Source organism: Homo sapiens, chromosome 7 (assembly GCF_000001405.40).
Source record: "Homo sapiens chromosome 7, GRCh38.p14 Primary Assembly".
In the NCBI taxonomy this organism is placed as follows: domain Eukaryota; kingdom Metazoa; phylum Chordata; class Mammalia; order Primates; family Hominidae; genus Homo; species Homo sapiens.
The window spans coordinates 81,726,269-81,752,345 of record NC_000007.14 but is presented as its reverse complement, the minus strand read 5'-3'; the positions used below and the strand labels follow the sequence as shown (position 1 = coordinate 81,752,345).

Here is a 26,077-nt window from a genome sequence, read left to right as displayed (position 1 = left end):
AACATACCCACTAATTAGTAAAATTAATAGGCAAAAAAAAGTTGCATGCTCTTATACTGTAATGATTATCATTTTAAAACTAGCTTTTTGCCTTCGAGCTATCGGGGTAAAGACCTACAGGAAAACTACTGTCGAAATCCTCGAGGGGAAGAAGGGGGACCCTGGTGTTTCACAAGCAATCCAGAGGTACGCTACGAAGTCTGTGACATTCCTCAGTGTTCAGAAGGTAAATAAACCTGAATGCCATGTGGGCCATTCTATTCCCCCTATGTGTAGAACTGTAACTCACATTAAAGGTTAACAGCAACGAATCAATCATAACAAATATGTTGTTCGTGCAAATGCAACTACAAATAATTATTTAAACATTTTTATACAATGTTTTTAAAACTGTTGGATTATCACCAGATTAATGCAAAATAACAGAGCGAGTTATCAGTTTGAATTTCAACACTGCCTGAGACATCCCTCTGGGGAAAGTGAAAGAGAGGGTTTACTTACCTACTGTCTTGAGCTCACATACCTCAAAATCTACTACTGTGTGGCACCTGAAAGGAGTTGAATGAAGCTTAGCCTTTCATTAGCAATGTTAATTCTATTCAACCAGCACCTGCTTCCACAGAAATTCTGTCCAAACTATCATGAAGTGGTGTGACAAGGGTATATGGACCCAGAAGATAATACAATATAAGAAGGGATCACTGGAAGCTTGACCCCATGCACATTTTGGTGAAAATGTGCCTAGAATCAAATGTGACACGTAGGCTGGAACTGAGTACCATTCAGAATAGGATCTGAAGAGATCAAAGCAATGGAGACCACCAAACTGTCTTGAAGGCATGTCTATGGACCTTAAGTCCATGTCTATGTTTTCAGCTCTTCTCACAGCATAAAAGGGCATTGTCCTTACTTTTGCAGTGGAAAACTGAATGGCTGACAAGATGGAAGAGTAACCATTTCAGCATTGTATGTGGTTTCATTTTTCTTAGTTATCTGGCTACTGAATAGCCGGATTTTTCAGTTCTGTCAGAAACTCTAAATTTCCAAAAATCTAAGTGAAACATGGATGAAACTCTGTTAGAAAATTGTTAGGATTTTGGAGTATTTGGGGAGGGGGACTACTGGAATGCTGTCCAAGTTTTATACTAAGATATCTTACCTGTTTGTTATTAACCAAATATTTTTAAAAATATTTCCTCCATAAATATTCATTTAATATTAGGTTGATATTTATCACATAAAAAGTAAAGGCTACTGTTAGCTAATTGTCACAGAGAAGGATTTGTTTTCTGTTGTTAGTGAATTTGAAATCCTTGACTTTATGTGCTACAGCCAGTTCCATCTCTGTTTGTAAATTCTTACTTTCCATTCCATATCATATTCTGTTCCCTATAACCTCTTCATTGTTTTCTTTTCTTTTAAAAATAATAAACTTTTCTATGATCACGTTTTGAACAAGTCTGTTTTGTATGAATAAGTCTGAACGAATTAATATTTGTCTTAAACTTGCACATGGAAGAAAAAAAACCCTACTTTTAGGGGAATCTCTCCTATTACAGTTTTCTGAGGTTGAAAATCATTGACAAGGGGTTTTGTTTGACCTGAAAACGTGTTTTCAAAGGCCGGTACCTTGGCCAAACTTTAAACAGCTTACTATTTTCGTTACCTGCCTGGTTCTTGTGAGAATATGATTTTTCCACTACGGGTTTATAAGGAAAACATTCATCAAAATATACTTACTTAACATAGGACTGGACTGCTAGGCGACATAGATTAAAAGTGCTAGAAAAGAAGTCCTTGAATAAATCCTATTTTCAGTTATTCTTATCTCATTAGAATGTAACTGTCTAGTATCTTTAATAATTTGAGATCATCACACCTCCCTTAGAAAAGGGCATTGCTCGTTGGTATTAATGGCACATGATGCTATTGGTCACCGCGGCACCAAAGGTTGCAGACATGTTCTTTCTGGAAATAATTAGTGGCCTGGCAATAGTGGAATAACTCTCCTGTGGGAGAAGGGAACCAACATCTGCCCTGTAGGTTAAACATATTTTGGAGACTATGAGTTAAACTGTGATATTTTAAATTCCAGCTAACACAAGCAATGTGTTAGCAGGATTTTAATGAAAAAGATCCAAAATAAGAAGCATTGTCAAAACATTGGCAGAGAAAAAGAGTGACTTATAAAATCAATAATATAAAATATACAAAATAATGTGACATGATATAAATTTCTTCTAAAATACATATAAGGGGGAAACCTCAAAATCCAGAATGCTTAAGTTGTATAATAGATGGGCCATTTCTATCCATGGATACAAATTAAATGGTAAGTTATAAAGGTTATTTTATTATGGCTAAGGTAGCAACTATAAAGTCATTTTGCATATTTAAAATTAAACAAGAAAAACACCCATAATCAAACTTTAGACTGTTCAAATGAAAAAGACATATAGAACAGTATATATTTTTTGAAATTTTTGTAATTATGCTTAAAACTTGGCTATATAATCACCTGAAATTTGTTTAAAATTAAAAGAATTGTATCTGATAGTCAATGATTAATATTATTTTCTTATAATTTAAAACTTGAAAATATAGTCAATATTCCAAAAGAAAACAAATATTCGTCTATCACATTTATCACCTTCCAGTTAGATAAGAGGAATAAGTTCAATAGATCTATTGTGTGAATGGTGACTATAGATAATAATATTATATTGTACATTTAAAAAATGCTAAGAGACTAGATGTTAAATGTTCTTACCACAAAATTGCTATGTGAAGTAATGCATATGTTAACTAGTTTGATTTAGTCCACTGACAATGTATATATGCTTCAAAACATCATGTCGTACATAATATGTAGACTTTTATTGGACAGTTTTAAGAAAGAACCTTATAGAGTTATACAGAGAAAATAATTAGTGCTTGATTCAAAAGTTTTAGAAAGTTGAGGTATGCAAAATCCATTTTCTTGCTTTAGCGTTTGCTTGAAATTTAAAATAAAACAATCATTGGTCATTGGAACAGATGTCATTTCTAATGATTGTCAAATGATCAAGTAAATATATTTTAATTAAGCCATAATCATTATTTTAAAAAATACAATACATTTAAAATCCCACATAATACTGACATAAGTTTATGTGTATAATTCGATACTCTGTGTGAAGACTTTTAAAAACAAAGATTAAATGGCAAGTTACAAAGATTAAATGGCAACTCATAATTTATTTGACAAACTTTTATTTATATATGTTAATTTGTGAGACTATTTATATTTTAAACATTCAGTTTTGTTGAAGTAATCACCTGTATGGATTTTTCTGAGACTGTCTTTAATGGAATAAAACAAACACTAATTAAAAATAGATTCAGATACTTTCAAAATAACTCTTTTAGTCTGTATACTCATATCACTCCTGTTTTATGACGGAGAAAAATGAAACACATTTTTAAAGTTTGGTTGGTTAGTATGATGAGAAAGCTGTTAAATTAATCCTCTGTGTTTTCTAATTCATATACAGTTTTTGTAGTATTCTACTATTATTCAGTCCAGAACTGTACTTAGAACAAATATTGAACCGATGAACAGAAACCATTACTCTGTGAGTTTTTGTGATCTATCTAGGGCAGTAGTTAGCTTGTTTTGTTTTGTTTTGTTTTGTTTTGTTTTAGAGGAGAACTTGCTGGAGCAGGTAAATAATGTACTGACAGCAATAGACAGAGCCAAAGGGCACTCCTACATATAAACTGTTACATCGTTTATATGTTCACCTGTTTCCTTGAATACATGGACTTGGTTTCACCTGAACTGCTTGACTTTAAGAAAAATTAGAAGAATCTGAGAATTCCCAAAGCTTGAAAAGTGAATATGAGTTAAAAATTTGGCTTTCTTGAGATAATTCTTATGACTAACTTGATGGCTTGATTCCGTGGTAAAACAGCCAACTTTTCAGCCATTGACTTTGGATAAGGTGTCCAATCTAGTTACATTCCCATGCACTTTCCCTGCAATTCCTCCAATAGATGAGACTTCAACAGGAGAGCAAGTTAACTGTTGTAAACAAAAAAGCAGAGGGCAATGAGGACAATGTTGAAAAGGGTAGGGATACCAACTTTCTAAAGTTATTGCTATCAGTATATCATAAAGTATAACCAGTTAGAATATGTAGGAAATAAGTTAAAATATATAAAACAAAAAGGCAGTTTGGGATAATGCAAAAAAAATACTAAGACTATGGGTCAGAAGATTTGTGTTCCTGGCTCAGGTTTAACATTTTGTGTTTTAGGTAAGTCTCTTAAAACTTTTGTGAGACTTGTTTTCCTCACTGTAAGAATCAGATGATACTTTTCATGTTTTCATATTTATTTGTTTGTTTTTGTTTTTTGTTTTTTGTTTTTTAGACAGAGTCTTGCTCTGTCGCCCAGGCTGGAGTGGTGCAGTGGCACCATCTCGGCTCAGTGCAGCCTCCACCTCCTGGGTTCAAGCAATTCTCCTGCCTCAGCCTTCCAAGTAGCTGGGACTACAGGCACGCACCACCAGACCCAAGGTGGTCTCAAACTCCTGACCTCAGGCAATCTGCCTGCCTTGGCCTCCCAAAGTGCTAGGATTGCAGGCTTGAGCCACTGCACCTGGCCTATACCTTTTATGTTAAAAGTATGGTATAAACAATCAAATAATATGTAACTGTAATATATTTAAGTATCTCAATTCAATCATGGCATGTTTAATTCCCACCCCAACAATAACTTTCATTGCTTTCTAAAATGTAACATTATTCTTGCTAACTTTTATTTATTTATTTTTAGGCCCACAACTGCAATCATAACTCTCTCTTCCCTTTACTATCAACATAGTATACTTATGCTTCTGATTTTATGTTATTTTGTCCCTTTATAATTTATCCAACTCTCATCTATTCAAGATCCTAGTAAAATCTAGTCTCTCTTATAAAACTATTACGGCCAAATACTTAGAACTTCTTTTTTTTATTTTTTGAGACGGAGTCTCGCTCTGTCGCCCAGGCTGGAGTGCAGTGGTGCCATCTCGGCTCACTGCAAGCTCCATCTCCCGGGTTCACGCCATTCTCCTGCATCAGCCTCCCGAGTAGCTGGGACTACAGGTGCCCACCACCACACCTGATTAATTTTTTTATATTTTTAGTAGAGACGGGGTTTCACCGTGTTAGCCAGGATGGTCTCGATCTCCTGACCTCGTGATCCGCCCATCTTGGCCTCCCAAAGTGCTGGGATTACAGGCGTGAGCCACCGTGCCTGGCCAGAACTTTTATAATAGATCCTGTTATCTAGAAAGTTGCAGAGCAAAGTGAGGTCCAAGTACCAGCAACAGCAGCAATGCCTGGGAGCTTGTTATTAGTGCCCCAGCCCAGACCCACTGACTCAGAACTTGCCTCTTAACAGGATCTCAAGGAGGTTTTTGCACACATTCATATTTGAACAAGCATTGATCTGCCACACTCATAATGGAAAGTGGTCATCTTATGGAACCATCTGTTTCATTCATGTAGCTATTTTTTCTTAAAACCATTAAAATGTGTAAGTCAAGGAAAAATTTTTATAATACTGCTCAATGTAGTGATTACCAGAAAATAATTCTATTCACCCTCGTTAGAAAGGAATATACTATCACAAGCTGCATTTGCTGAAGGAGGCATAATAGATGTAATCTCTTTCCTGAGTACTATACAAGAGTAGAAATTGTACATATGAATACTTATCTTTTATGTGTGACCCTAGTACTCTATTGTACATTTCATCCAACACGAAGGAACAAATAACGATAAATGCTGCATCATTTTCTTTGACGGTATCAAAATTTGTGTTCTTTAAAAAAAGAGAGAGATACCTAAATGAACCTGTTAAGCATTCAAATGGAAAGCTGAAATGTAACATTGCATCACCTATGTTGAGCACTGCTATGACCCTGGCCAACCTGAGCACCTTTATTGATATGCTCATGGACTCCACTCATTTACAGTTCAGGTGCTTATTGGGTGTAGTCTGGAAAATCTCAGTATCAAATGAAGGGAAGCCGAGTTGGCCTCTTAGCTAATGTATTAATATAAATGAAGGAAAGCAGATGGATCAAGCCAAGTTGTTGCATGTTTCAGAAAGTTAATAGTTAATGTCCCTATTAGATTATAAGAATCAAGGATTCAAAAGTGATGATTCTAATACTATAATCCCAAATTACTACAAATACTCATTAGGCTAGATTCCGTTGGATAAAACTAAACATTGATGCCTCTTCCCACTTCAGCTAAAGTTAGATGATCAGTAATTGCAAGATACAAATGATGTGTTTAAGGAAGTTTGCCTGATTCATAGGAAAGCCAAGCAATGATTTATTCCACAGGATGCTTTCTGTGCTACAAATCAACCTGTCTGTTTGAGAAGTCTCACTTTCAGCAATTGATGTGATTCAGTTTTCTGTGTGACATAAGAGGCCAGCCAGAAGAGAACAATGAATTAACCTCACAAAATCATCAGTAAGAGCCTACCTAATTACATTAGCTTATACATTTTAAAAAGAGTGGGAACATGGAGTTCAATAGCAGGTCATCTTCTATCCTAAGCCAGACAGGAATGTAAACCTGCCCAGCTTATTCAACATGGATGTTCGCTAACAGAAAGGAGCTGTGATTTATTTTTTAAAAATATCCGTATTCTTTGAATTGCACCAGATTTCTATATGAAGCCAGTCTCTTAAATCTATGTGGTCTTGATTATGTCATTAACCATAAAAGTATGACACAAACTCAATTAAACTTTGTATTTCCTGTGTATGTATTTGGAGGGCAAATTGAGAGAGAAACACTATTGTGCTGACAAATAGATACTGAGATCTTTGCATTTTAGACCAACACGGGAAAAATTTCCAAGGATCTGTCTTTTATTTCCATTTTCTAGATACCTTTGAGACAGTTATTGAAAAAATAGATAGACAGCGTCGTGGCCCTATAGTAAATCTGTGTGACACTAAGTACAAAAATCCCACTTAAACTGTATGATGTGTTCTATAGGGAGTAGTTTATGTCACTATTTATAGACATTAGGCCCTAATAAAAAGTTAGAATGATGTGTAGGATTTTTTAAAAATCTGTTTACTAAACAGGTGCTGTTCTTTAAATGCAACAGTGGTGTTTTTGATTTTGCTGTCAGAAACAATTAACATGCCATACTTTAATTTTATTAGTTGAATGCATGACCTGCAATGGGGAGAGTTATCGAGGTCTCATGGATCATACAGAATCAGGCAAGATTTGTCAGCGCTGGGATCATCAGACACCACACCGGCACAAATTCTTGCCTGAAAGGTAAAATATTAATGAATCATGCTTTCAGTGATTCTTTTACAAACTATTATTCACTCTATGACACACTGCTGTGGAAATTCTCTTTATATTATGTTTTCCCGATAGGACATGAACATAACATTTAGAACTCCCAGAATGTTCAGGAGTTCTTCTGACAGAATTTCTGGCCATTATATTTGGAGGAAATAGTCTAAGGGCAAAAAGATTTATGATGAGGTACATGAGAACACTGACTACATAGCCAACTGGTCAGAGTTTCTAAAATCAGCATGGTACTGAACACAAAATCATCAGCAGGGTATAGAGTGGAAGCACAAAAAGAAGCTTCTTTCTCTCTCAGAGCAGAAACAAAACAAAACCAAAGCAAACCACAGGACCAATTCAGTAATGACCACTTTGACAAGTCTTAGCTGTGATTAGAGGTATTGTTACTAATTGCAGGCAAATCTCCTTCTGGAGCAGCATCTTCAGAGACTCAGGTACTGCAGGCCACACACATAACAGCATGACATAAGTAGTGGTCATAGGGAGTAAAAAGTAGAGCAAACCATTCAGGTTGCTTTGTCCTGGTGTGTTTTGAAATTGCCCATATAAAAAGCCAATTTGGAGAAGTCAGGCAACTAATCTATCTTTTATCCCCAGGAATAGGTTTTGAGCTTAAATTATTACCCATCTCCGCCAAAAAAAAAAAAAAAATCATGTCTACTTTTGCCCATGTATTTTACATGAAACTTTTAAGGTGGAAAAAAAAGGAAGAAGTTCATTTATTTTGATTATAAAGAATAAAAATACAAATAATTACACAGGAAATTCCGTCCCCCACCTTTCTTTGGAAATTGCTGTTAGGTGTTTTTTCTTTGTTCTTTTTCTCTATTCTTTTTTGTTTGGTGTTATTTTTAATGAAATTAAAACTCCAGCTTATTTTCCAAATAAATGCTTGTCTTGTCGTTTAAGTGAGAGCAGAAGGGATATGGTAGCAATTAAAATCAAGTCACCAATTCAGGACTCTGTTCATTTGAAGGGAGGTGGGGTGTGGAGAAAGTAGTGTGATGAAGTTTGTCTCATGATCTGGTGAAGGTGAGGGCATGACCTCGAAGGGCTCTATTTCCAAAACTGAGTTATCATTAGTAACAGCGCTATTGAAACTGAACTTTCAGTTTGAACTTTAAGCCTTCCCTAGAAGAGGACCTGTTTTCTTAATGAGCATTCTACATGAAGTCATGTTTTTGTAATCTGCCCTTAAGTGGGTTCTAAGAGAAAGAGACTCGATTTGGAACCTCAGCTAGTGGAAAGGTACCACATAGACCTAACTTATTAGCCAGGGGATGATACTCTGTCCTTAGTGGGATATATAAATTAGTAGATTCAATAGTCAGTGATCAGCAGTCCTCGTAAGGCAAAACATAGAAAACGTCCTCTTTCCCCAGCTAGGTGTAGACAACCTAAGTGGAAAGTTATTTTGTGAGCTGAGGGGTGGGTGGTGTTTCCAGGCAGATTTACGTGACACTTTTCTTGGTGTGGTTTGCAGATATCCCGACAAGGGCTTTGATGATAATTATTGCCGCAATCCCGATGGCCAGCCGAGGCCATGGTGCTATACTCTTGACCCTCACACCCGCTGGGAGTACTGTGCAATTAAAACATGCGGTAAGTGAAGGTCAAATTTATTGCTTCCTTTTCCTCTCACAGACTGGATCTAAGCAGGCGATTATTAGTGAGACAGGTTAACAACTATTTAACTTGATGCTTTAATGTGTGCAGGTTTTAATATTTTAAGAATGTGTTACATAATCCTACCCAATCTTTTGCATTTTTGGAGACTGATTATTTTGACTGTGATAAATATGCAAATACACACATCCATAGAAAACATTTTTACTTATGGCAAGAGCCTAAACATTCTAATGTTATCAAGAAAATTTAAAAAACCACAGAGAGAGAAAAAGATCGGAAATGTGTGCAGCATCACAAAGTCATTAGGGGAGTAAAAGCTAGGACCTTAGTTCCTTACCTTCCAATCCTGTATCCTTTACCTACCTTTCCTCCCCAGAGACATAACATGGGCTCTCAACTGATGGTGAACTTCTTCTGGTGAGTGACAGAGGCTGCAGTGAAGAATAATGAGTCTAATAGAAGTTTATCACAGATGTCTCTAATCTTTATAGCTGATCCCTACCTCTCTCGCTGTCTTTGTACCCAGCCTGCATTCTGTTTCGATCTGTCTTTTAGCAGTCCATACAATCATTTTTCTACATGCTGGCCCTTACCTAGCTTTTCTGAATTTACAATAAAAACTATTTTTTAACGTGTTTTATATTGTTCCTTTCAATCTGTGAACTTGGTCCTCTCCTCTATGGTTAAGTCACACATTTTCACTGTTCTCTTAAACAATATTACATAATGTTTTCATTTCTTTGAATACAGGGCTAATTTTTTTCAACTGGATATTAAAATTCTTTAAAATCAATAGAATTGCATAAATTTAGTAAGGTATAATAATGTTATAAATTGGCCTGATAATATAAAGTTATGTATATATGGACAGACATGTAAAGCTAAATAACCTACATAAGATCAGGCACCAGCACCTAGAGTAAAATATATAATTAAGAGGGCATGGATTGATTTTCATATATTTCACTATAGCAGAATGATGGGGAAGTTCCTCTGAACAAACCTAACTGAATATTATCCACACTATGGTACTGCCGAGGTAAATCTCTCTCAATCTAGACCTGCTAATAAAAGGAAATGTTTTGGACAACTCTTAATACTTTGGACAACAATAAATAACTGAAGAATCTGGAAGCCTTTCAGAGTAAAACACTGTGTTCCAAGGAAATTGAATCATGTGTTTTGTCCTTTAAAATAAAAGATGACTCCTGTGACAGTGTTTCTCTGCATAGATTGGGTTGGTTCCACTCATTGCTTTTTAAATTGTATTAGTCTTTCCATTGTTCTACACCAGTTAGGTATAATAAACCAACTGTTTCCCTTCTGATTTTTTGTGTGTGTATGTATGTGTGGTTTAGGTACTCTTTTTTTTTTTTTTTTTTTTTTTGAGATGGAGTTTCACTCTTGTTGTCCAAGCTGGAGTGCAATGGCACAATCTCAGCTCGCCACAACTTCCGCCTCCTGGGTTCAAGTGATTCTCCTGCCTCAGCCTCCTGAGAAGCTGGGATTACAGGCATGCACCACCAAACTCAGCTAATTTTGTATTTTTAGTAGAGACAGGGTTTCTCTATGTTGGTCAGGCTGGTCTCGAACTCCCGACCTCAGGTGATCTGCCTGCCTCGGCCTCCCAAAGTGCTGGGATTACAGGCATGAGCCACCAGGCCTGGCCGGTTTAGGTACTCTTATAAATTTTCTCTGGAATAAAACCTATACACACACACACACACACACACACACACACAGACACACACACACACATACACACTCACCTGCATATTCACCCAACTGGCATGCACACACCAAGAAATCCAAATGTTGCCCTCCTCTTCAGTTCCAAACCAATCTTTAGGGTATTTTTAAAAAGAGACTGAGAGAGGCAAGAAATAGAATGACTATGACACTGGCTAGCTATTAAGTAGGTTTCTTTTTTCTCTTCTGTCCAAAAAGGAGCTGGCTAGTTATGCAAGTAACATGCTATATAATTCCAATGTCTTTGTTAAGCAGAGGATAGAGTTTATAGGGTGTTAATTCTAAAAAAATGATACCAGAATTTGTAAGCCAAACCTATATCACTCAAATTTAAAAAGTCTTCTGAGCTTTGGGAATATTTTGGAAATATTTTATTAAAGGATAGCTTTTAGTTTAAAAAATACATATATGAAAGAGATATAGATATGACTATAAAGAGACGATACTTCTATTAAAGTGGATGAAATAAAATTGACATTCTGGAAACCATAAGAGATAATGTTTTATGAATATTCTTTTAAATGTTTTGGTTCACATATATAGTAAAGCCTATAATGCAAAACCAAAAATTTGGTGGTGGATTCAATTGTGCATTGATTTTCTATTGTGGCATAACAAATTACCAAAACCTTAGAGGCTAACAACAACACACGTTTATTATCTTATATTTTCTGTAGGTCAGGAGTCCAGCCATAACTCAGGCAGGCTCCTTGCTAGGGTCTCAAAAGGTCCTGATCAAGGTGCCTACCTCACCTCAGGTCTCATCTAAAACTCCATGTTGCATTTAAAGTTCACTAGTTTTGACAGAATTCAGTTTCCTGTGGTTTTAAGGCTGCAGTTTAATTCTTCTAGAGACTGCCTAACTTTCTCTGACACATAACCCTCTCTACAATATGGCAGTTTACTCCTGCCAACAGGATAGCATCTCTCCTGCTTTGAGCTTTTGACCTCCAGACTCTCTTTTAAAGAGCTAACCTAATTAGGTCAGTCCTGCCTAGGTTAATTTCCCTTTTAATTCACTTATAGTCAACTGATTAGGGACTTTAATTACATATGCAAAATCTCTTCATCTTTGTTGTATAATATAACCTAATCACAAGAGTAGTTCTCATTGTATTCAAAAGTTTCATCCATACCCAAGGGGAGAAGATTATGCAGTGTGTACACAAGTTGGTGGGGATCTGGGGGACCACACATGTATTTACTTGTACTGGTTGTAAGAGATAATTAATTATTATTTTTTATTCGTATCATTAACTGGGCCAGTTTTCTGGTTTTCTCTTAGTCCAGTCCAGCTGAACTCATTCTGGGTTTTCAATGTTTCCAAAACAAAGAATAAAGATAATGATTATGTCACTTACTCTCTAGAAAGTTGGAGGGGAATTTCTAAACTCGTGTTTTATCATATACTAACTGTATTAGAAAATCATAATTAATATCATTTATTTAACACCCACAAAGAGGTGCTTTCCATTGTAGAGTTAACAATCCTTATTTCATTCTTAGCAAATGGTTGCAATTAGGCCAGTGAGGAAGGGGGTAAAGAGATGGATGGCTGGAGCAGTATGGTAATTCAAGACAAGGTACATGATTGATATGGGTAGGGTATGGGGTAAAAACAGAAAACTGAAAGAAGTTGAGAAAAATTAAGTTGATATGAGGCAGATCAAGTAAGATCCAAGAGTAGCCCATTCAGTTGCCATGAGAAACACTGAAAAATTAAGCAAAGGGAGGGATCTTACCTCATTTGTGATCTAGAATAGTGATCTCTAAACTGGTGTCCATGAGACCCAGGAAAACACAAAGACTCTCTTAGGGGCCTTTGGGCATAGATTGCTTAAGGGGCTCAAGTTCCACCTCTTCTTCTCTCAGGTGAATTCTTTCCCAAAGGTCCCTTCTTGAGATACATGTGTTTCTCAGAAGCCAGGCATGTCAACACCTCTACCCTCCCACACTGCCGCTCTTTCCTACTTTACCTGAATTTTACTGTAGCTCATTGCCCTGGGGTTTAAAAACCCTGGGGACACTAAACAAAAAGATCTTTGAAAATACATTAAACATATATTCATGCTGTTTATAATTTATGGAGTACTGATAATTGTATCTCTATACACTATATATGTGTATACATACGTGCATGTGTCCACTGTATGTGTGTATTTTTCTCTTAAAACCTTAGGTCACAAGACATCTTAAAATGTAATTTCAATGAATAAAAAGCTTTCAGAGAAGTATGATGAGGTGAAGAATAAAAGACTATTCAACACAAAATACAACACAGGCCAGTAAGAAATAAAGAGTGTGATTAAGGCAGTAAGCAGTGAGAAAAACAAGGTGGGGAAGGATGTGAACAATATCAAAAGGGGGAATGTACAGTATATAATGACAAATTGGTTATACTAGGAAATGGGATAGGGAGAGAGAAAAGCCTAAAATATTTTAAAATTATTGGGTAGATGACATATATATAAGAGAGGCATTAATTTGAGGAGAAAGATCACAGGTTTAGTTCTGCTTATATTGAGATGCAGGTGCTTGGCATCCTTGTTCATAGCACATCTAAGTTCATTCTTCTCCGGAAAGTCAAGGAAAGTCACAAGTGAACAGGGATAGCAAAAGCCTTGGGCATCAGCAATTCCACCCAGCATGTTGAGAACACAAAGAGGGTTGTTTGCCCCTTTCTCCATAGCATTCATTGAATAAATATTTTCTGAGCAGCTATTATATGTCAAATAAACACTTTTCTAGTAGCTGGGGATACAGAAGTGAATAAAACAGACCAAGGCCTATAACAAGATAGAAAATTCAGAATTTTTAACACAAACCAGTAAAGAAAAAGATGACACTGCCTTAATATTAGGATATTCACATCTGCCAGCCAACGTTTGAATACTGCTCTCCTTTTATTTGTTCAAAAGCTGAACTACAAATGTGTTCTAGTCACTTTGCTTCCAAGCTTCTATGTTACAATCAATGTATCACTAAAAGTAAAGAATTAATGTTGCTCATTGTCTGACAAATGTGTGCCAGGGTGCTCTGGGATGGGCCTTTTCAGACTTCCTTCACACTGTATTTCTCAGGAGGGGATATATACCTAAATGTCATCAGCCCACAAATATTCTGTGTATAAAATTTTAACAGCGTTTTGGGCACATGGAATTTTAAGACATCACGAATATGTAATAAAATTGGAAGTCCTGCATAGTGCTTGAATGAAGTACTGATTTTTTTATGTTTTTCTCTGATTATAACTTCATATTCTGAATAACAGTTGGTTCTATATATTAGTTTCCTGCTTTTCAGAGACAAATAATAATGTTTGTTAAATTTATTGTATTTTTTCTGTAAGTTTTAAATTCAGGCATAAATGTGCAGGTTTGTCATGTAGGTAAACCTGTGTCATGGGGTTTTGTTGCAAAGATTATTTTGTCACCCAGGCATTAAACTTAGTACCCATTAGTTATTTTTCCTGATCCTCTCCCTTCTCCTATCCACCACCCTCTGGTGGGCCCCAGTCTATTGTTCCCCTCTATGTGTCCATGTGTTCTCATCATTTAGCTGCCACTTTAAGTAAGAACATGCAGTATTAGTATTTTTATGAAGTAAACTCCAACAGGTGCCTGGCAATTTAAAAGCTCTCTTGTGATTGATACCCCTTAGAAATCACACTGAGTATTTAGATCAGTTCACAAACTTCTTGGACTGAAGATACCTTTATACTCTTTGACATTATTGGGAAGCCCAAATTATCTGTGTGGATTATATGAATCCATGTTTTTCTATATTAGAAATTAAAACAGAAAATTCAAAACATTTATTAATTCATTTATAATAGCAATAAGGCCATTGGCTATTAATAAATATATTTTAATGGAAAATAGTAAAACCAGTGGCATTGTCAACTTTTTACAAATTTGGCATTTAAAAAAATTTTCTTTAATGGCACCTTAAATGAAGACAGCTGGGTGTCTTGTATTTGCTTTTGCCATCAGTCTTTCAGGATATCACATATCATGTGCCATCTGAAAGTTTCATGGTGTAAAGAACAAATGATGTCTTAACATTACTGTGAAAATAGTTTTGATCTCCTGGACCCCTGAAAGGATCTCAGGAACCTCAGGTGTCCCAGGACGCTCTAAGAACAACTTCTTGCTATATATCAGAACATGCAAGACTGATATGGTCCCCTTAAGAGTACACTAATTAGTATTTACCTATGAGCTACTCCAATTTCCCTCAGCCCCTCGGCACCAGAAACTCGCCTCTTCTCTTATTGATTATCTTTTACCCTGATTTTCTTCATGAATCCTGTAAAGGGGAGATGGGAGGGTCTGTTTCACCTTTTAAGCTCTCTTTTGCATGATTTAGGCTCTATTATTTGCCCAGTTTAAAATCCAAAAGCCTGGTATAATCCTAGATATAGCCTTCTCCTTCACTCTTCACATTTGATTTATCACTAAGTCCTGTCAATTTTATCTTCTACATACCTTTCACATAAGAGCATTTCACTCCATCATTGTCTCCTTTGTCCAAGAGAGTATCATTTTTTAACATGAATGGCCTTCAGAATGAAATATCTATATCCACTATTTTTCCCTGCAAAAGAGAATGTTTTCAAAAGTATATCATTCCTCATCTATAGAACACCACACACACACACACACACACACACACACACACACCCCTCTACACATAAATTAAAAACCCTTCAGTGATTTCCTTTGATCTTAGGGCAATGACAAAACATAACCATCTGTTACCGCCTATCTATATTTCTAACCTTATATGTGACTTCATATACCTCCACATTTCTCTCCAGGCTCTCATGCTGTCTGTTCCAGCCACAATGATTTTCTTCCTTTGCCTCATATTTTCCATGTTCTCATTATAGTCTCTTTACCCCAGCCATGCCTTCTGCTTTCAAAAAATTTTACTTTCTTCCTTACCTAGTTGGCAGCTACTCATTCACATTTCAACTAAGTTATGATTTCCTCACATCAGCTCCTTCATTTGAGCTCCCTTACTGTATCATCTCCATATATTCTTATGATAAAGTTTAATTTATAAATTAGGCACAATAAGAGATTAACAACAACAATAAAATAGAATAATGATAACAATATGCCAGCATCACTATTTTTGTGCCTTGGGGCCATTGTTCAGTAAAATAAAGGATACTTGGGTATCAGCACTACAAAACTATGACCGTTGACCTGATCACCTAGAAGGCTACTAAGTGACTAAATGGGCGGGTTGCATATACAATGCTAGACAAAGGAATGAGTCACATTTGAGGCAAAATAGAACGGAGTGTACGTTTGAAACGTATGAATTGTTTACTTCTGGAATTTTTTATTTAATATTTTTGGATGACGGTTGACCACAGGTAACTGAAATGGCAGAAAGCAAAACTGCAATTAAGGAGGAACTACTATACTTAAGTGCCCAGAAACACTTTAGAAGTGAGACGTGGGTAGATCTTTGATAACTAAGGTGTCTATTCGAGGTATTGCTCTGGAGTGAATTGTGTCTCCCACCAAATCCATATGTTGAAGCCCCAACTCCCATTGTGACTATATTTAGATATAGGGATTGTTAAGTGGTAATTAATGTTAAATGAGGTCATGAGAGTGGGCCTTAATCTGGTAGGATCGGAGGCCTTATAACAAGAGGAAGAAAGAGAGAATTCTGTTTTTCTACCATGTAAGGACATAGCAAGAAAGTGACCATTTGCAAGTGAGGAAGAGAGCCCTCACCAAGGACCCAATTGTCTAGCACCTTGGTCTTGAACTTCCTAGCCTCCAGCAATGTGAGAAGATAAATTATTTTTGTTTAAATCAGCAAATCTGCAGCCTTGTTATGGCAGCAAGAGCAGACTAATATAGGTATGTTTCCATTGGAAACAAATATACAAAAAAATCCTTTCCCTTAGTAACCAATGAACATGGACATAACTTTAAAAGAACATAGTCGTCTTTTAAAATTCAGTGTGTTTATATGATGAGAAAATATTTTTTACAAATTGTATACAATTACAAAATAATTTTTACAAATTATTTTCTTTCTTAGACAAAGCTGATTGTTTCTTTGAGTTTTCCTAATTTATCCAAGGCCAGAATAGAGATTCACAGAAATAAAATCTTGTGTCCTGTGTCAGAAAAAAACAATGCCGTCAATACCCTTTTTCAAGGGAAAAATCTTTTACTTGGATGTCTCTTCCAAATCATCTTCTAAAGAATAAGGCTATAGAATTGAAGACCTTTCATGAAAGTCTTGTCTCCTGAGCATTTTGTACCAGAAAAAGCTTAGATAAATTCCAGGGAAAAGTTTGAGGTATGAATCCTGGCTTCACATGGAAAGCAAACATGCAAGCAATTTGAGGTTCATATTTTGGAGGTCTTTACTACTTTCCCATGTCAATTTTAAAACAAGAAGCTCTTTAAATTTATAATGAGCTGGATCCTGGTCTTCATGGCCCACAGAGCACAAGTATTGTTGATGGGAGAGTGGCTTTATTACACACTGTTCTCAATCCCGAGGGACCTTCATAAAGTAAATTCTATTTCAGTTGCTCTTTAGTAGCTGGGAAGAAGCAGTGGGTTAGGTTGAACTGCTCCAGGAGGTTATCGGGTATTTGTCTACCAGCCTATGAATTGACTTATTCTTAGCTATAGGGAAAAGAGAAGCAATAGCTTGTCTCCATTGGGAAATCTGGGTTTTCTTTTGGTGGGGATGTTGAGGGCAGGGTGGGTTTGGTGAAAACCGTAGATGTAAGCATTTACTTATCATTCATATGAAGCTCACAGAGCCCTGGGTGTCCCTGTTTGTAACATACTATGCACTCCTCCTCTCCAGTTACCATTCAGACCTCTATCAGGGCCCTGTGGCCTCTCTGCAAGGCTTTGGCTAGCACTTTATAGAAAGAAGTAATCAGATTTTTTTTTCTAATTAGTGATCTTGTTCTCTTGGTCTCTGTTGGGAGGCAAGATGGTTGTACCAAGAATTAGACAACAGTGAATACTCTTTGTCTCAAAAAAAATCTGTTCAAATCTTAAAATTCACTTCCAAATTTTGTAGCAATCAGATCACAGCACAACCACACCAGCAAAGTGAAATTAATGTTCCAAGAGGCATGCATTGTATTTGTTCATATTCAAACAGGACAGTGAAAAATTTCGATAGCAAATGTTGTTTTACTTAAAGCATTTCCAAACAGAAAATTTTGTGTCAATCATCAAAAGAAAGCATTCCTTTACTCATAGACCACTGATGATTACATAAATACCTTTGCTTCTGCTTCCAATGGGTAGCCACTGCTGATACCCCTGGCAAAATGTTTTCTTTGTTGGAACTCTCAGAAGAGTTCCAGATATTTTCAATGTTAACTGGGTAGACATGATTGCAAAAATATTTGTGTATGGGGGGATGCTGTATTTTAAAATACTTGTTGCTTTGTCTAAACAATCAACTTCAGCTGATATTTGGGAATGTTTCTGTGTTTTCTGACATTTTAGTTTGGCCAATGGAGACTTTTCAAAACCCTCCCTTACTCAGGTCCCATGTTAAGTATTAAGTACAAAGGAATGCCTTTCCCAACATTTAATAGCCCTCTTCAAATCAATTGTCATGAAACATTTGTTTTATTTTTACACCCAGTTTTGATATTTATACAGCAGGGCTGCAGGAGGAGTTTGTTTTACTGCCATCGAGGAATAATTAATTTTGTTTGAATAGTAAGTATGTGAGCAGCAAAGATCAAACATTTATATCACAGTTAAATGGTCTATGGACAAATCATTCATCATGGTCCTCATCAGATATTTATTAAACAGCTTCATGGAGACTCATAATAACTCTTATTTATTGATGAAAACTATTTAGTTACCTTGTCGTACTAATATATCTTTATTCGCCTGTATTATTTATTCTATACATTGCCACCAGAATTATGTAGTTTTTATTTATGGGGTGACTTCTAGCAGTTGAATGTCAAAGGGAATAAATACAATGCACTGATTTCAGAGGGTACTTTGGAGTTAAAGAAAAATACTAGCTAAATACTCTAGTTTGTGTTTAAAATAATGACAAATATTTCCAATGAATTAAAACACAAGAAAAATAAAACTATTAAGTTGTTAGAGTTATACACATTTTAAAGTTATGGATATTTATTTTTAAAAAGATGAAAAATAATAATGTTATTATTTAGATTCTTTACATCTTAATAAAGCCTAATGAAAAAGTTATATTTATTTGGTAAAATATTATATTTGTATTAATTACAGTAATTCTTTGTATTCTATAATTTAAAAAATTTGAAAAGGTTTTATTTTCCGTCTCCAAATTAAAATATATTAAATAGTTTAAATTATTGAATCCAAAGCCAGCATTTGGGTTTTTATTTAATGATTTTACATACTTTTTAAAAAATGAATGTTCAATGACTTTTCAAGTTTATAGTAAATGCTTTAAAATATGCTAATGAAAGTTTAGAAAAAAACCTATTCAGCATAATAGCTCAAGTGATGAGATTTATATCATTGCTATTTTTAAAAGTGAAAGATTCTTCAATTAAATCTTGTTGGAAACCTCCAGCTGAAGTAGAGAATTAGCACTAACAATGCATGTCTGAATTGACATTGAAGTTTTAGTGGATAAATCAGCAGTGAACTATTTTCCTGTATATTTTAAAGCAAGTAGGCGTTTCTTTGACTTGGGGTTTTGGTAATATAGATCTTTCATTTCACAGAGGTTCTTAAAATTTCAAAATTTGCTCTCAAATTAGGAATATGTTTAGCCTTTATCAGTATTTACCTTTTATCATTCCTCTTAATATTTCCTGATTATCACGTGATTGCTTATAGTTGCTCATTGCACCTGCCAAATATTGATTTTTTAATGAATTGTGATAACCTATGTCTACCTTACTGTCTCCATTTTTATAAGGTATATTTCCACTTGTGTCTGAGTTTAAGGGTCTAAGTATTGCTTCAGATTGTAACTATCATGGGTCATTTCTGTAAGAGTGTAACTTTAAAATGTTATTTTTGGAAAAATTACTTAGAAATTCGAATCACCCTTGACTAATAACATGCTCTAGAAATGATAGTTGGTATTTAATCTTACGTTGACAATGTAGACAGAAAATTTTACTCTCTCACCCCTACCCAGGCATATCCTTACAGTAGGAAGTTACCTTCACATAGTAGAGGAAACAAACAGCCTTTTGAAGCTGCTTCCATATTTAGAAATTTCAACAATGTTCGAATCCTTAATCATATCTGAATATTATATTCATTTTATTTATTGTCTTGATTGGTATCTGGCAAATCATACTTGTGTCCGAGGAGTGGTGGGTTAATTTTTCATGGACTGAGCCTTGAACTAGTTTCTCAGTGAGATGCAATGGATGGACCCATATCTAGCCAAAGATGGCACTGATTGACACCTGGACTCATCAAGACTGGATCTGTGAGTTATGTGCACAGCATAAGAGTAGTGCTTGAGAAGAATGGCTCAGTAGTAAATAATCAAAATAAATCACATACAATTAAGTAGGAAAGTAAAAGAGTTGAGGTACCTGAGGCAGACAATGAAGTCTATGAGATTAGTGGAAGTGTGTTTACACTGGCTGTTCTAACTCTGAACTCCCTTCCATTGTCAGGACTTAGTCCTGACTGAGGTCACAAGTTTGCTGCCCAAGAGCTTGTGCCCCCAAATTTTCTTTTAGCATGTTAAGCTAATGAACTGATAGATGCCCAAGGACATTTATTTTTGTCTCCTTTCCCATCAGTTTTATAACTAGATATGAAATATAGCAGTACAAACTTGACCTTGTACCTGTTTTAGAGTTATCACCTTTTAAGACTTTCCCCATACATTCAGTTTCCTCATATCATTTAACAGTTAATTCAAATAGTCAGAAATAGAGTAACTTAATGGCATTTATATTGATGAAATATAGTTCCTTAGGACCTATGAAATCCATCTTATTTTGTATTTCACCAAAGACCTTTGGATAGTATTGAAATTATAAAAGACTTGCATAATCAGCATCAACTTTTTCTATACAAGCCATTTCCCCAAGTCCAATAATTTTTGTTCTTCCTAAAATCAATATATATCATCAATATCAATATAGATGAATTCTCTAGGCTATCAGCTCTCAGTTACCACTTTATGGGTCAATTACTGAACATTTTTCATCTTCATTTGAGTTTCTTTTTAAGTTTGGATATTTCTGAGTCATATTTCTATTCTCTGAAGCAGATATACAAAACATTGAAACACTTTTTAAATGGGCTGCAATAAAGTTATTTAAAAGGAATTTACTGAAAATTTGCACAGTACAACTTATTTCAGTAATTAGGGTAGTCATTAAGGTAATGTTTTCCCTTTCTTCACAAAGCTTCGTAGAATAACTCTAAACATAAGCTATTGTTTAGTTTGCCTAGGTTAGCTCATAGAATGCAATGAAATAAAGCATTCAACTAACTACATAAGGTAGAAATGGTTTGTATGAGAGAGGTGTTTAGATGAAATTTAAAAGCTATTAAAAATATTTACACTATTAACTATAGAAAACTTTCATAGGCATCCCTAGTCACTGAAAGCATGTCTAATTCTGGCCTGTCCTTCGTACAGTGGTACATCCAATTCCAAAATGGATAAATCAATGAAATTTACTCAAATCTTAAACTGTCCTAGAGGCTGCCAACTTGAGTTTCATCCAGAGGCATCTTGAATGGCCATTTAGATTGTAAAGGTAGCTGGGAAGTTTACACTTTTATCAAACCATAAACATTTTCATGTATGTTTTAAGAAGATATATGAATTTTAGTTGCTCTGGAATGTTTTGAGTTACATTTTGATTGACTAAACATTACAGAGAGAGAGAGAGACCAAATTGTGGTAAAAATTTAATTTTATACTTTTATTACTTAGTGACTGAGGGTTTCAAATCTTCATGACGTATAGTAAGCATTGAAGTTGGACTAGGAAAAAAAGCAGGAGATAGATCTTCCTAGGAATAACTGATTTTTTCTTTATTGTCAACAAGATGACTAAAAATATATTTAACATGTTAGCTTAGAATTTATTTATTTATTTAATTTATTTTTTGAGACAGACTTTCACTCTTCTTGCCCAGGCTGGAGTGCAATGGCACGATCTTGGCTCACTGCAACCTCCACTTCCTGAGTTCAAGCCGTTTTCCTGGCTCAGCCTCCCAAGTAGCTGGGATTACAGGCACCTGCCACCACCACTCCTGGCTAATTTTTTTTGTATTTTTAGTAGAGATGGGGTTTCACCATGTTGGCCAGGCTGGTCTTAAACTCCTGACCTCAGGTGATCCACCCACCTCAGCTTCCCAAAGTGCTGGGATTACAGGCATAAGCCACCATACCTGGCCAGAATATATGTATTATATTGGAGGAAAATTATGGTTAATTTCATTACCACTTTGTATGTACTTATAAGCAAGCTGATTTTAGAAATAATTGTATAGTCATTTCAGAAACACTATATATTCAGCATATATAAGTTATACATGTGGAGGTAAAATGCATTTAAGTAACTTTTCAAGAAAAAACTAATTTAGGATTTGAATGAAAGGAAAATTGGAATGAAGTTAGTAATAATGTTAAGTTAAATTTCTTATTCCACTCAATTATTATAAAAGCTTATAAGTAACAGAAAAAAAAATCTGCTAATACAAATGCCAATGAACTCTAAGAGGCAAATGACATCTTCAAAGATTTTATATAAGTTTTTTTTTGTTGTTGTTTTTTGCCAATAGCTGACAATACTATGAATGACACTGATGTTCCTTTGGAAACAACTGAATGCATCCAAGGTCAAGGAGAAGGCTACAGGGGCACTGTCAATACCATTTGGAATGGAATTCCATGTCAGCGTTGGGATTCTCAGTATCCTCACGAGCATGACATGACTCCTGAAAATTTCAAGTGCAAGTGAGTAAAGTAGGCAAATGTTATACATTTCAGTAGGCCCTGGGGAAAATGAGGTAGAGTGGTTACTTTTTACTAATTTTGTGTTAGTGATCAAACTTCAGCGTGCCCAGTGATAATCAGGAGTTAAAAGGCAGATTACACCTCCACTCAGAGATTTTGATTCTCTTAATCTGGGATTTGGTCCTCAAATATGCATTTCATTAAGGACCCTAGGTGGTTCAGATCCAGAGGGTAGATTCACTATGCTTTGGGAAACACATCCCTAGGTGGATTTCTGATCACAGTTTTGCTCTTCTGGGTCTGTTTAGTAAATCAGTTAATAGTCATGGCAGCCAGGCATGTTTCAAAATACTGCCTTCTTAAATTTTCGTATTAGCTTTGGGAGGATTACACATTTTTCCTTTCGAAAGAATGGAAAGAAAAGGCCTACCACTGAAGAGTTATTAGCCTTAAAGATCTGTGAATAAAATAATTTTTCAAAGCTTAAATGAATGTGTTCAGTTGTTTCTGGATTTGCTTTGAAAAGTGGGGAAGCAAATCAATTGTGTAGATGACTCAAGCCAAAGAAACTGCCCTTGAGTATCAATTACATAGTTGTTTTGTGCATTCTCTATGGGTACTTTTCACACCATTTGACTTTTGCAGACAGGCACAGACACAATGCCATGTGTTTTTAAATTGTCCACCTTGTTATGAGGAACATAAAGTGATTGCTTTTGAAATTAATAACACACATCATTCATAGTGGCTTTTCTGAAATAGCACCTATAAATAACATATATTGGCTTTATGTAATTGGCTTTTAATAAGACAGCCTAACATTTCTGAATGAAGAGCTATGAGCACTAGTTGGCCCATCCGCCATAGGAGAGGGGAGATTTGTGTTGTATGTGTGTGTGTGCATGCACAAGCTTTAGCTAGTTCTGTAATTTATTTGTTTAAATAGTAAATATTAATCTAAGATTTTTTCCCATTAGTTTACAATAACAAAATTGACAGTTGTCATGCTGGGTTTATTTCCCTCATTTCCATCACAGCAATTCACTCTCTATTCGTGACCCATGGGTTTCACACCTGAGAAATACATATCAAAGTAGAAAAAACAAAGAAACAGAGAAAATATTAGTTATAAGGGACAAAGGAGATAGTGTCACTGCCATTCACATTTTTGTTAACTTCTAATGACTAGTAATACCCAATAAGAAATTGTGTACGTAAAGATACCTAGTGAAATTCATCTGTAAGAAAAACAGAATGGATATAAACATTTAATTCACAGACTTCACAAGTGAAGCTTAAGTATCAGAAGTTACCTGTTATATCTTGGTAGAATTTAAGCCATCTTTTCTTAATTTTGTTATTTGTTTTAAATAACCAAACATAAGTATTAAGAAACAAAGCTTGTGCGGTGTTATAAAACTGATAAAATCTGATTCAACATTTTTCTCAGGACATTGATTTACCATTTACTATTTGTGATCCAGTAGTGAGGGGGCGTACTGGTCACGTGTCTCTATTAAACATTAAACATGAAATATTACTTGCCCACTTGCCCCAGTACTGAGACCTTAAAAATGGCAATCTTTGGAACACTGTAACTGAACAACACTGCCTGTGATGAATCGACATGAATCATAAAATCATCAATTTACTTTAGTAATTGTAAACCATCCTTTCTTCAAGTGAAAAGTAAGGACCTAGTAAAAATATCTGGGCAAATCTTGACTTTCATTCTTGCTTAATCTAGATTATTGATTGAGGTGCTTCTAATACAGATGTTAAAGTCAGTCCAAACTAAGACTTTGATAGCCCTCGATCTTCACTTAATTAGCTTGTCTAAATGAACAATCCAGAACTTTGGGAGGATGAGACGGGAGGATGGCTTGAGGTCAGGAGTTCAAGACCAGCCTGGGCAACAAAGGGTGACTCCATCTCTACCAAATAATAGAAAATAAAACCAAAGTGTATGCAAAGTTCATGTAAAATTTAACACACATATTTTATACTGACATAGATTTTTTTTAAAAATGTAAGTATAAATTGCTTGTCTCATCTATTCCAGTTAATAATTTTATAAGAAGGCTAAAGGTTTGAATATGGGTTATGAACACTTAACTATACAGTGGCTTTAATTATTGGTGGCCGATGTTCTCATATCCTTAAATAATAGTTTGTGTCAGGACTTACTTTGATGAGATAAGACTAATACTTATTGACTTTCTAACCCAACACAAGCTTCTTCCTTAAAAATTTCTCAGTTTCGGCCGGGTGCGGTGGCTCATGCCTGTAATTCCCACACTTTGGGAGGCCAAGGTGGGCAGATCACCAGGTCAGGAGATTGAGACCATCCTGGCTAACACGGTGAAACCCTGTCTCTACTAAAAAAAAAAAAAACAATTAGCCGGGCGTGGTGGCAGGCACCTGTAATCCCAGCTACTCGGGAGGCTGAGGCAGGAGAATGGCGTGAACCTGGGAGGCGGAGCTTGCAGTGAGCCGATATCACGCCACTGCACTCCAGCTTGGGCGACAGAACGAGACTCTGTTTAAAAAAAAAACAAAAAAAAAACCTCAGTTTCGAATGGTCCATTTGGATATTAAGATAATTGTATAATAGTACTTCTAATTGGACCTAAGTGATACAAATACTGTGGTTTCCAAAAGATTGAATATTAATATAGTTATTAAAAAGGAATCTATGAAATGAAAGCACCTACTTATTTAAAATTAGCATATTTAATAAATTTTATTTATTATGAAATCCATATTTTATTTAATGTGAACCTTATTTATATTGATAGAAAACCATTAAAAGTCTTCTACATACAGAGAATATTAGCATAGATTTTTTTCTTATTAGGAACTCTAAATTTCTAATTAAAATACTGGTAAAATGAAGAATATACGTGTACTACATTGAAAATGTGTTCTATAGTTCGTTTTTCTATAGTATAACTGGGCCTTAATTTTACAGAAATATATATAAAGATTTTAGGTAACCTCTCTAAATCAATAAATAATTGCTTTGTAATTAAAATAAATCAATGCATCAAATTAAATAAATCAAAGAAATGCAGAACTCAAGGAAAAATAGCTATCATATTTTTGTGGCACATATTTGAATAGATTGAACTTCCATTTTAAATGAGAGTAATTAATTACTATTGATAATAACCTTTCTTCCACAAAGAGAGATATGTGTTGTTTCTACACAATATGTGGGCCATGAACATGTAATAAATAACAGGCCAATGTTTTGAAATGGTACCAATTGAGAGTCTCAATCTTAAGACTGAGTGAGAAGAATGCAGCGGTACCGTTTCTCTCTTTTATGAAGCA

At 35.2% G+C, this 26,077-nt stretch overlaps 1 protein-coding gene across 6 annotated transcripts in view; it reads left to right on the top strand.

Moving 5' to 3' along the window:
- Positions 1 to 26,077, top strand: part of HGF (hepatocyte growth factor) — a 71,038-nt gene that overhangs the window by 17,702 nt on the left and 27,259 nt on the right. The window contains exons 5-9 of one of the 6 annotated variants that reach the window (XM_047420293.1): positions 84 to 226; positions 7,226 to 7,346; positions 8,875 to 8,993; positions 9,397 to 9,437; positions 9,993 to 10,347. In XM_047420293.1, the coding sequence (XP_047276249.1) occupies positions 84 to 226; positions 7,226 to 7,346; positions 8,875 to 8,993; positions 9,397 to 9,404 (391 nt within the window). In that variant the 3' untranslated portion in view covers positions 9,405 to 9,437; positions 9,993 to 10,347. Of the gene's footprint in view, positions 1 to 83; positions 1,447 to 7,225; positions 7,347 to 8,874; positions 8,994 to 9,396; positions 9,656 to 9,992; positions 10,348 to 22,566; positions 22,742 to 26,077 lie in introns of those variants that run through there. The other 5 variants (NM_001010932.3, NM_000601.6, NM_001010933.3 and 2 more) reach the window with 5 other exon arrangements.